At 42.0% G+C, this 12,303-nt stretch overlaps 1 protein-coding gene across 3 annotated transcripts in view, besides 1 other annotated feature; it reads left to right on the top strand.

Moving 5' to 3' along the window:
* MACF1 (microtubule actin crosslinking factor 1) overlaps positions 1-12,303 on the top strand; it is a 402,972-nt gene that overhangs the window by 379,819 nt on the left and 10,850 nt on the right. For 2 of the 3 annotated variants that reach the window (NM_012090.5, NM_001397473.1), the window contains one exon: positions 4,630-4,747. In NM_012090.5, coding sequence (NP_036222.3) covers positions 4,630-4,747 — 118 coding nt within the window. Of the gene's footprint in view, positions 1-1,109; positions 1,128-4,629; positions 4,748-5,561; positions 5,631-12,303 lie in introns of all 3 variants that reach the window. The other variant, NM_001394062.1, reaches the window with a different exon arrangement.
* Positions 4,129-4,269: a silencer, noted in NCBI's record as "fragment chr1:39933786-39933926 (GRCh37/hg19 assembly coordinates)". NCBI's record gives its function as "represses an EF-1alpha promoter that drives an FKBP-Casp9 reporter gene in an ReSE screen in HepG2 liver carcinoma cells {active_cell/tissue: HepG2}" and the evidence as "EXISTENCE:reporter gene assay evidence [ECO:0000049][PMID:32094911]".

A 12,303-nucleotide genomic window follows, 5' to 3' on the forward strand; every position in this document is an offset into this window, starting at 1 on the left:
TCTATTGACTGACCACTTGCCCACAAAGAGATGGTCATTGTGAGCCTGAGTGGCTCCCAGGCTAGAGAGGCCTGGGGAAACTGTGTTGAAGCCCCAACAGACACTGTGCCTGCTCTGAGCTGGGCTACAAATGGGGCCCAGGAGCACTGAGGAGACATCAGGCTCAGTGGTCTTCCCTGGAAAGCCATGCTAGGTGTGGCCATAACTGACAGTGAACTATACTTGTGTTTTAGCTTCTTTTGGGACCAGGGTCAGGGACATAGAAGGATCTGAAACAGGTCTCCTAAAATATATCAACAGCTCGTCAAGATTCTCTAAAGTCCTAAGAAAAATCTATGATTGGCAAAGAGGATTTAGATTGCACTAAGAAACACAGGAAGGTCCATGTTTCATTAGTATATCCAAAATGTCCTCAAAGTACACCAAATCTACCCCATGCTGCAGTCTCCTGAGGAGTGCTGGGTGAATCTGCTTTGAATATAACCTAGGGCATTTAGTTAATAAAGCTCCATATAATCTTATGCCTGCTTGTTGGATTTTGTTTTCTTGTTTTTTGTTTTTAATTATCTATGAGAGAAATGAATTAACAAGAACAACATAGCATGGAGAGTTAGTTCATAGTTTATAAAACCACATCCCTGGCCGGGCGTGGTGGCTCACACCTGTAATTCCAGAATTTTGGAAGGTAGAGAGGCGAGCGAGCGGATCACTTGAGGTCAGGAATTCGAGACCAACCTGGCCAACATGGTGAAACACCCTCTCTACTAATAACACAAAAATTAGCTGGGCTTGGTAGCGCATGCCTGTAATCCCAACTACTAGGGAGGCTGAGGCAGGAGAATTGCTTGAACGCCGGGGTCGGAGGTTGCAGTGAGCCATGATCGCGCCACTGCACTCCAGCCTGGGCAACAGAGCGAGACTCTCAAAAAAAAAAAAAAAAATTAAAACCACATCCCTGTGGCAGGAGCTTGGTAAGAATATGTTCAGTGTGTGTCACTTTGCCAGAAAAATGTAATGATATGATTTTCATTCTTTAGTGTTAATTTGACAAAATGTTCTCTTTTTTTTTCCCCTCCTTTCCTCCATCCTTTACTCTTTACTGTCTATAGTTCTTCCTCGGCAATCAGGTACAGTGTGCCTTGCAATGTTCTCCTTCTCAATGGATATGGTCTGTGTAGCTAATGCTGCCTGTTCTTCGCTATGGGGAGAGGATGTAATCTGAAGCATGCCTGGGTCGCACCTGGTTGTCTTACCAAGTGGAGAAACTGTTGATGGGGCCAGCATTGCAAAGCTATCTTAGCAGCAAAAGAATATAAGTATAATTTTTTATAAAGGAGATGAAATGGAGGAAAGTGAAGCTATGGTATCAGTCCATTACACTTCTAAGAAGAGCCTGGTTTTGTACTTCTGTGTTAGAAGTCAGATTACCAAATAGCACAGTTCTTATTTATATTAGAATCTTTTGACAGTTAATAAATTTTGTAATGTATGGTAAGTCAATTCCTGAAGAACTTCAGTACTATTTAAATATCTTTTTAATATTTGTAGTTACTTATATTGTATGTTATAATTACAAGGTATCTGAGAAGTGTAGTGTGGAGATCGTAATTGGCCGTGGCCTGAAGTATGCTGATTATGGCCAGCCAGCCAAGATTTAATGGGACCAAATTAGACTTGCAAAAAAGATTGGATGCTTTGACTCCACTTGGTAACTCTAACCTTTCAGATCTTTTTGAGTGCTGTGGGGTCCTGTGTCCTCCAATGTGGAAGGAAGTTGCATGAGTAAAATCTGTCTCTCTGATATGAAATTATAAACACTAGTTGTTGATTTCAGGCCCTCAAACATCCCAGGCCTTGCAAGTCACTATAGAAATGTTCTAGGCAAGTGGGAAGAACAGGGGATAAGAGAAAAAAACTAAAGATGAGAACAAACTGGCTTTAAAAAAACATCATTGCTTGAGAGTGTCCAATATGCCTATTTGCTAATGACTGTGTGTGAATGCTAGGGTGCCTTTGAAGAGTCCTGACACCCTCTTCTACTGCTCCATTGATCAGGAGAGGGTCAGATGACTTCTAATGTTGAGAACGGAATTATGAAGTTCATTTTATACACAGGCAACTGAGGCCTCAAAGATCACATGCCTACTCTCACACAGCTAGTGTCAGCCACTGCAAGAACCCAAGTCTCTGTAAGAGGTTTTCCTTTTAAAAGGTGGAAACAACAGTTACTGACCCTTAGGACTCTTATTTGTTCTTTGCCTCACTGACAACCTTGTCCTACCAGGTGTGCACAGGTCTCCATTTTTAGAGCTGCCATAATCCCTCCTACCACTTGTGACTCTGGCCTCAACTTCCCCAGCTACACTGGCTGCTGGCTTGGTCAAACCTCCTTTCCCCCATAGCTTAGCAGAAACAAGTTAGAATCTTTCAAAGAGAGCTTTAGTGTGAAATTAAGGTTGGGGGGGACATGAAATATATGGAGTGATAAATTATAGTACACAGTATTCCAAGAATAAAGTACTCTTGTGGTTCCTTCCTGATTCACCCTGGGGTACACACAGGTGCATACTCCCTGCCTCTCACCCATCCAGAGAAAACCCTTTGCAGTGACTCAGGTCCAAGAGCACTGCTCTTGGGTGGAATCCTCCATATCTCTCAGAACCTCCCACAGGGCTTCTCATTTTCACTTGTGGGGCCCAGCTTCTGAGAGGGGGCTCTCACAGAGCCTGGGGGGCAGCTTCCTTCCCAGGACAGGACGTGTATTCTCTTTCAAGTCTGGGTTCAGTGCTGCTGCTACCACACAGTGCTTTTGCTGCAGTCACTTTGTATAAACATGTTTAAATTGTATCAGATGAAAGGTGTGGGACTTCTTTTATTTTCAAAGTAAAGGGCTGGGAGGGAGGATACAGTATTTTTCAATTGCCTTGCCTGTGCAAATACTGCATTTGAGTCAGAGCAGCTAAGGAATATGGAGAATTACCACAAGTATATTAATTTTGAGGGAGGATGGCTATATGACCTCAGATATCCTTTCTTGCATTTTCAATTTTTCTGCCTTGTTTTAAAGTTACAGTTGTCCTTTATAACTTTGAAAATCCTGGCCGGGCGTGGTGGCTTATGCCTGTAATCCCAGCACTTTGGGAGGCCGAGACGGGCAGATCACGAGGTCAGGAGATCGAGACTAACCTGGCTAACACGGTGAAACACCGTCTCTACTAAAAATACAAAAAATTAGCCGGCCTGGTGGCGGGCGCCTGTAGTCCCAGCTACTCGGAAGGCTGAGGCAGGAGAATGGCATGAACCCAGGAGGCGGAGCTTGCAATGAGCCAAGATCGCGCCACTGCACTCCAGCCTAGGCGACAGAACGAGACTCCATCTCAAAAAAAAGAAAAAGAAAAAGAAAATCCTACCAACTCCATACCCGAGGAACCCTTGAATTGAATGATTTTAGGAATTCCATTTCTCCTACCAGATGTTTGTTTGTTTTGGAAACTCTGCATACTTCTCTTTTGTTGCTCCTTACTTCATTTTGGAAAGAGGGTAATTTATGCCATGAGAAACTCCAGATGTTTAGAGCTGGGAAGTAGGAATGTTTGGGCAAGAAAAAAGGGAAAACATAAATAATCAGAAATATGCTTGTTTTAGCATCTAAAATGATTATTGGATACTGTTCATAATCATCATGGGAGCTACAATTTTTAATTGCTTCAACTCAATTTTAGTATAAATATGACCTAATCATTTGTTCAGCTGAAGAAACTTTTCTGCTGGTGACACTGCAATTAGCAAATACTTCGGGTTAATTCCTGAAAACCTGATGCAGAAAATCAGATTTTCTTCTAAGCTTGTAATGATGCTTTGCAAAGGTTTCCTTAAGGCTTGAAATAGTATTCACTATTTTCCATTTAGCTTTAAAGCATACTGTATTCAGAAGTTGATATCCACAATCTTTCTTTTAGGAAAACAAATTAGCATGCCAAGAATATGAATTTTTAATTGAGCAGAATCTCTTTTAAAAAAATAAAGTGACCTAACACTTTGTCTGTTTTCCTACCTCTCCTTTTGGTGCAGAGGCAGTGGTGTGACCATTAAAAGTGATTTTTATCCCAATAGAAAGTATATTGGCCCGGCGCAGTGTCTCATGCCTGTATTCCCAGCCCTTTGGGAGGCCAAGACTGGCGGATCACGAGGTCAGGAGTTCAAGACAGCCTGGCAAACATGTTGAAACCCCGTCTCTACTAACAATACAAAAATTAGCTGGGCGTGATGGCACACGCCTAATAAACCCAGCTACTCGGGAGGCTGAGGCAGGAGAATTGCTTGAACCTGGGAGGCAGAGGTTACAGTAAGCTGAGATCACACTGTTGTACTCCAGCCTGGGCAACAAGAGTGAAACTCTGTCTCACAAAGAAAAAAGTATATCAAGACACCAGTCTTTAGCTTGATATTTCTGCTTTTCTATTTTTAAAATCCTTTTGTGAAATATATAAAAATGCAAAATTGTGAGAGTTAACAATTCTTCTGTAGCTATCAAATTGTCATTCCTGTCTGAATACAGTCTGCTTTGGGAGAAAAACATAGATCTGCTTTAAGACATATATATTAATTAAGTTTCCTTTGATTCTACAGTTTGGGGATTCTCAGCAGTTGCGGCTGGTCCGTATTCTGCGCAGCACCGTGATGGTTCGCGTTGGTGGAGGATGGATGGCCTTGGATGAATTTTTAGTGAAAAATGATCCCTGCCGAGGTAAGGAACCATTCTAAGCATGAATTACGTGTTAGGTATGCCCCCAGCAGTGATCTTTTATGCTTACAGGAAGCATTGATGGTGGGGTCTGTCTGTTTTTTATTTTGTTAAGCTGCCCAGGTGTCATCCCACTAGCACAGATTAGAACTCAGGGGTGCCAGCATAGGCCAGGGAGAAAAAGCTGAAGAGGTTGATGCTATTTGGGGAGGTAGGTCTAGAGGAATGCAGTAATGAGAATTAAGAGTGTATTGGTGTTACTCGAATGTTTGTTTGGGGTATTAAATTAACACTATCCTAGAAAGGAGCCCAGTGAAGCCCTTTAGGTTCCCTCTTAGTGCCTCAGATCCCTTTGCCTGTAATTCCTGTGGCTGATACTCAGGGAGAGTGTTAGGCCCTTCTCATACAGGGAAGAACTGGTGAGCCCCCTGGACCAGGAGGAAGGATAAAGACACCTACATGTGAGCCCATTCACTTCTAAGACAGGTGGCCACCTAAGCAAGACCATGGGGTGTCTTTCTGCTAAATGTGAAAAGGCTGGCCCACCAGCCCAGAAGCATAAGGAGACTGTCAATTTAATATGAGCATGAGTGGTGGCATCTGCAGCTAGGGGGTGTGTGGGGACTGCAACAGGGAAGAGATGACCGGTTCCAATTGCTAAATCCTCTTCAGCTATGTCCTTGCCTTTTTCCTGTTAGCAGAGCTGCATGTGGGTGCACAGGAGGCTCCCCCACTGTCTGCCAATTTGTCTTTCTTGACTAGTTTCTGCGTTTCCTGCCCTGTCTGTTTCTTTCTGTTTACGTATTTTTTATTCTAGTTCACCATCCTGGGAGTAAAATAAAGCGCTCTGATTCCAGCTCTTCGATTTCCAGTCAGTCTCCCATAGGTTGGCTTTTAAGCTTTGTCCCTCTTCCTCACACCCTAGCCCATTGAGAATGGCTTTGCTTCTTAAACTGTAACATCTCTTGGTTCTGTGTATCTGCTGCATTCATGAATGCTTGAAATGGCCAAACCATAGCTTTTCTAACTACTCAAGTTGATGGTGCATAAAATACTGTTGAGACAGTGTCCATGGAATTTGTTTTGAGTTTCTATTTAACAAATACTTATATAGTTTTATGTGCCACACACTATTACAAGTACTTTACAAGTAACACATTTATGCCTCATATGAAGTGTAGATGCTCTTATCTCTGTTTTACAGAATAGGAAATTGAGGCATAGAAAACGTAAATAATTTGCCCAAAGACAAACAACTAGTAAATGGCAGAGATGAGATTCAAATTCAGGGCAATCTGGGTCTGGAGTATGTGCCCCTAGTCAGCATGTTATATCTTTCAGAGGCTGACACACCTTTGTGTATGTTTATTATTGGATCACCTGCATAATTATTAAGGTTTATTTATAAACCTAGCAGAAATGTTTGCTGTACAGTACATAACTTCTTTGGAAATGATTTATAGTCATATTCTGAAGCATTTAGTGAGGACAGAGCTAAAGATAGCAGTTTTCACATGAATTCAGATATGCCCCTAAGTAGTTCCTCTTATTTTAACTCATTCTGTGTTTACTACAGTAAACCAGAGTAAAAATTCAGCAGTAATAATTTTCATTAGAGGTTCCTTTTTTAAAAAAATTGGGGCCAGGTACAGTGGAATCCCAGTACATTGGGAGCCCAAGGCAGGAGGATTGTTGAAGCTCAGAAGTTCAAGACCATCTTTAGCAACATAGTGAAACCCCATCTCCACAAAAAAAAATTTAAAAATTAGCTAAGCATGGTGGTACACACCTGTGTAGTCCTAACTACTCTGGAGGCTGAGGTGGGAGTATTGCTTGAGCCCAGGAGTTCAAAGCTACAGTGAGCCATGATCATGCCACTGCACTCCAGCCTGGGCAACAAGGCAAGACTCTTGTCTACAAAAAAGTAATTTTGAAAACACTTAAAAACTTGAAAGTATTTAGTTTTAGAATTTAAAAGCTGTCTTTTATTGCTTTAATGAGAAACAATATATGCCATTTTAACTTTAACTCAGTAAAACAACTTTATTCCTTTCCAAATCTATGAATAAGGTCCTATTTTTCCTGTCATGTATGATCAGACTAAATAAAAGAGATATTGCATGTGGCATTTTGGAATCCTTGATTGCCTGTTTATTTGCTGCCTGCTCTATTTATGATAACATCATGCTGCTGGCCAAGGAGAACACTGCTTGCTTTGTCCTTATCTTAGTATCTAAAATTTGGAACCCCAAGGAAATTGGGGAGGGCCATCTAGAAGCTATTTTCTATGAAAGCTAGTAACCTTTTTTAGCATCCCTTGGAACAAGCAAGGTAAGACTTTCCTGTGTCTCTCCAGGAGTGCTCTCCTGGAACTCAGTAATCATCTCAATCCATTGACTGTGGAGAGAACTCTCCAGAAGTTTTAAATTTCGTAACTCTGTCAGTGATGGGCAGGATGAGCTATTTTTAATCAAATAAAAAATGGTGCTAGGCGATGAACACCTAAGGACTAGGATGGATTATAATAAGTTAGAAGGGTATGAAGGATGAGAAGAGAACAAAGTTACTTGAAACTATATTGGAAGTTCTATAAGGATTAATGTGGCTTCTGGAAACAGTGCTTATGGTAGGTTTTGTACTCATTTATGTTGCATATTTCCTTGGGTCTCTGGAATGTAGAGAATGCTATACTGAGGACAGTACAAGATGTGTGACAAGGTTCTTAACACCAGTGTGCACTATCATTTCTTACCTCCTTTTACACAGCTATTTTAAAAGGTAGAAGATATCTCAAACTGCATGTAGCTTTTAGTCATGTGTAAAAAAATGAAAATATTTTACTAGCTAGATTTGCCAGTCTCCTGGTACTGCCAAAATCAGATATTTCAGTTTCTGAATGTATCCGTGGCACAGGAAATCATGATGTTTTGGATAGAGAGAAAAAAAGTGCTCCTGCCTAAATAATGGGTATACTTGTACCTAAGGTACTGTGTATGTTTTTGATCATTAGACATATTAGCTCCCCCAGATAAGTGAACATCTAGGAAATTTCATTTATGAAGATTTAAAAGACACATTTTGAAATAGAACTCATTTTTTTTTTCAGATTGTTATACAGATAAAATTTACCATCCTAACCATTTTTAAGTACAGGACTAAGTATATTTGTGTCATACTACCGTCACCACCGTCCATCCACAGAACTCTCTTCATCTTGTAAAACTGAAACTCTATACCCATTAAACAATAGCTTAGAACTGAATTTTAACATGCCCGCATCAGCCAGTTTCAGGTGGCCAGCATAACTCCCTTAGCAAAGACAGCCTCTTTGGTGGTCAATGAACTGAACTTGAGGTGGCTGCCGTCATGTCTGGTTCTGTAGGTTCAATGGTAGATCTTTTCTCCAGTGAAAAGAATGGTGAGGGGGAAAATCCTATCACAGTAGTCAACCAAGTACTAGGAATCTTCTCTTTTTTTTAACTTTAGGACTATAATACCCAATTTTGGGAAATATTTGAATCAATGTAAATATTAAGAGTACCTTTACTACTAAATTCAAGTGCTAGTACATAAATTTTGCTTAATCAGAATTTGGTGTTTCCTTCTAGTTCGAGAAAAATGTTTACTTTTTACTTGTGGGATTGCTCCAGAAATCAATTTTCACAGCTTCCAACTGTTTATTGTTTGTTGTCGCCTCCTCCCATCCCAGCCTTTTCTATTATCAAAGTAAAAGTATTAATTGCCCCCTTAACACCTTTTTTAATTCTTAAAATTGGCCGCTTTAAGTTTATTTCTGAAGAAAGAGCTTTCATTTCTTCCAAGTGATATGTATATAAAATGTTCCTTACCAAGAATCGTTTCATTGCCTTGCATCTTCAAATATTTTCTTTTAAAATGCAAATATCCATGGGAGTTGTAGCATATTAAGCTAATATTAGCTAGGCATGGCTTGGGATAAATTAATTATTCATTGGTCTCTTGACCGAGATGAGAGCACCAGAAATGTGGGAATTTTACTATTGTGAGCTTAAGAGCATAAGGACCAAGAAGATGGAAATTACAGAGAGAGGAAGGAAAATAAAAGGGAGAAGACAAGCCTCTAAAGCCCCAATTAAAGTAAGCCATTATTTTTCACTTGAGTTTAGACCTTCTTAATGAGGCCTCATGGAAGCGTGCAGGAGCTAGCTAACCACTGTTTACAGTCTCAGATTGCCTTAATGCCTATGTTGCGTGTCTTTGGCATGGCTGTAGTAACCTGGAAGGATGACGTTAGAGAATTGTTCACACGTCTTTGCATCTCTGGCCAGTGAAATACTATCCCAAGAGGTGACCATTGGCTGGAGATTTCCTTATGAAAACAGAGACTGTCTCATTATGTTTATTTGTTTCGTTATGACGTGTAAGCGTACCCTGAGAAAATTATGAACTGTATTTTCCCAGCATCCTGCATGCACCCAGCTAGGAAAGCAAGTGAGACACCCTTTGGGCCCTCAGCAGTCATTTAATGAGGCGTTACAATGTACCTACCTCATGGTGGCCTCTGGGGCTAACAGGGTCATGATATAGGAGATCAGCATAGGATCCTGTGATAGAATTAAACAGGTCCTCAGATCACAAAATGCAAAGGTTGCTGTTAACATGGGATAATCTTCCTTCTTGTAGTATCTTTCTTATGGAAAGCTATTCTATCTGCTCTTTTAAATTGCTTTAATATTCTATATATAGTAGGTGTTGGCAGTCACAAATTTAACTTTGTGGTTTCAGTCATGAAAATTCATGGATTTGCATTTGTTTCTGCTGTGCAAGAGAGCCGGTCACACAGCGAGAGAGTGAGCCCCACTGGCCACTGACTCCTCACTTTAACACAGCTTGGTGCTTCTGTTCTTCATCCCCGTGAAATAATGAGCACTTCTCAATGGAAGCACTTAGTGAGTTCATGAAGGTTGCGAGATCCATTCCTTGAAACTGTTGAGAGACTTGTTTTCAGAGGCTATTTCAGAGAAACAGAGGCTACTCTGTTTCACACATACTTACTGAAACCCTAAATGCAAGCCTCGCACTGGGATCCAAAGGTAAATTAAGATGATGGTCCCTGCCTGCAGAAGCTCTCAGCCTAGTGCAGGGAACAAACATGTGAATACATGCCCTTCTATTTGGTAAAATGAATGGTTGAGAGAGCAAGAGGGGAAGAGATGACTCTGCCCATGAAGATGGAGAAGGTATCAGGAAAAGGACATAATTGGGCTGGGCATAGTGGCTCACGTGTACAATCCCAACACTTTGGGAGGCCTAGTAGGGAAGATCACTTCAGGCCAAGAATTTAAGACCAGCCTGGGCAACATAGCAAGACCCCATCTCTGTTTTAAAATAAAATACAGGCCGGGTGCAGCAGCTCATGCCTGTAATCCCAGCACTTTGGGAGGCCGAGGCGGGCAGATCATGAGGTCAGGAGTTCAAGACCAGCCGGGCCAATATGGTGAAACGCTGTTTCTACTGAAAATATAAAAAAATTAGCCGGGCATGGTGGCATGACCCTGTTGTCCCAGCTACTCGAGAGGCTGAGGCAGGAGAATCGCTTGAACCCAGGAGGCAGAGGTTGCAGTGAGCCGAGACTATGCCACTGCACTCCGTCCTAGGCAATAGAGGGAGACTCTGTCGCAAAAAATAATAATAAATAAATATATGGCCAGGCACAGTGGCTCACACCTGTAATCCTAGCACTCTGGGAGGCTGAGCCGGGCGGATCACCCGAGGTCAGGAGTTCAAGACCAGCCTGGCCCACATGGTGAAACCCTGTCTCTACTAAAAATACAAAAATTAACGGCCTGGTGGTGTACACATGTAACCCCAGCTACTCGAGAGACTGAGGCAGCAGAATCACTTGAACCGGGGAAGCGGAGGTTGTGGTGAGCTGAGATTGTGCCACTGCACTCCAGCCTGGGCAACAGAACAAGACTCCATCTCAAAAAATAACTAAATAAAAATAAATGTTTGTGTGTGTGTATAAGTGTATGTGTGTATATACTGCGCTCCAGCCTCAGCGACAGAGTGAGACTGTATCTCAAGAAAAAAGGTTTTGAAAAAGGAAAAGGAGGTGTTGCTTCAGCCACATCTTAAAGGAGGTAACACTTGACCAGAAGGAAAAGGGATCTGGATGTTCTTGGTACAGAAACCACAAGTTCATATGAACAGAAGTGTCAACAGCTGAAAAAGTAAGGGGACAAGTAGTCCCATGGGACTGCAGCCAAATGTACAAGGTTAGCGACCAGATAAGACTCTGGACGGGTCAGCAGGAGGGGCCAGGTGATGGATGCCAGACCACTGGGTCCTGGGTACTTACCACATTGTGCTTCCTAGTCCCCAAGATGTGGTCCTCAAAAAAACGAAAAGTCACGGTCAAATGAATTTGGGAGATGCCAAGTTAAAGCTCTCCCAAGCAGGGAAATATAGAGGACCAAACCCCTTTTGTAGGAAAACCCTAGAAAACCTCACTTGGGGAATTCTGCTATAAGCAGTGAAACACCATGGAAGGATTCTGAGCTGTTGACAACAGATTTTCATTTAGAAATTCATTCTGCAAAATACAAAAATTAGCCAGGCAAGGTGGTACATGCCTGTAGTCCCAGCTACTTGGGAGGCTGAAGTCAGGGGATCACTTGAGCCTGGGAGGTCAAGGCTACAGTGAGCCATGTTTGTGTCACTGCACTCCAGCCTGGGTGACAAAGTGAGACCCTGTCTCAAAAAAAAAAAAAAAAATGCATTCTGCAGAATGAGAAAATGAGTGAGGGCTGGGTGGGTGGTGAGATGAGAAACAAGGAGACCAGTAGGAAGGCTGCTACAGTTACCCAGTGGGGAGGAGGTGCTCCATGAAACACCTGAGTACAAGGGGGCATGCACAGGCTCAGGGATTCAAGAGGCATTTGAAGGTAGAATCAATAGACTGAACTGCCCTTGGGAGGGAGAGACCTACGTTGGTGCCAGGGTTTTGGTTCCTGACTCTGGTCATGCCTAATCAGTTGCTGGATATAACTTCTGGCATCCAGCAGGAAGGCCTGCCCTACTAATATATTTGGAGTTGGGTGTGACTATAATGGTAGCACTGAAGCCTCAGTGGATGAGCTCATCACCAGGTCAAGTCTAAGGGGAGAACAGGACTGTGGACAGACCCAGCAGACATCCATGTTTTAGAAGTGGGCAGGGAGGAGTGGTCAGCAAGGGAGCAGGCGTCCTTGAAGCCAGGGGAGGACAGGGTTTCAAAAACAAGAGAGCAGTGTGTAGTAACCCTCCACATGCAAGTTACAACAGCAGAGAGATGTTTTTACCTAACAAATTGTCAGACTTTTTTCCTGTATGTACTCATGCTCATAGCACAATAATTGGCCAGAATGAAGTAAATTTAATATACTCATATTATTTTGGAGAGTGTATGCTAGTAAAACATTTTGGAATCAGCTGGCATCTATCAACCTTGACACATGGTTGACATTCATCAGTTGATGTTTTTACCTTAGGTATGCATCCTTTCTCCCCAGAAAATCTACATGTAGATATTTATCCTA

The sequence above is a fragment of the Homo sapiens genome, chromosome 1, assembly GCF_000001405.40.
Source record: "Homo sapiens chromosome 1, GRCh38.p14 Primary Assembly".
NCBI lineage: Eukaryota > Metazoa > Chordata > Mammalia > Primates > Hominidae > Homo > Homo sapiens.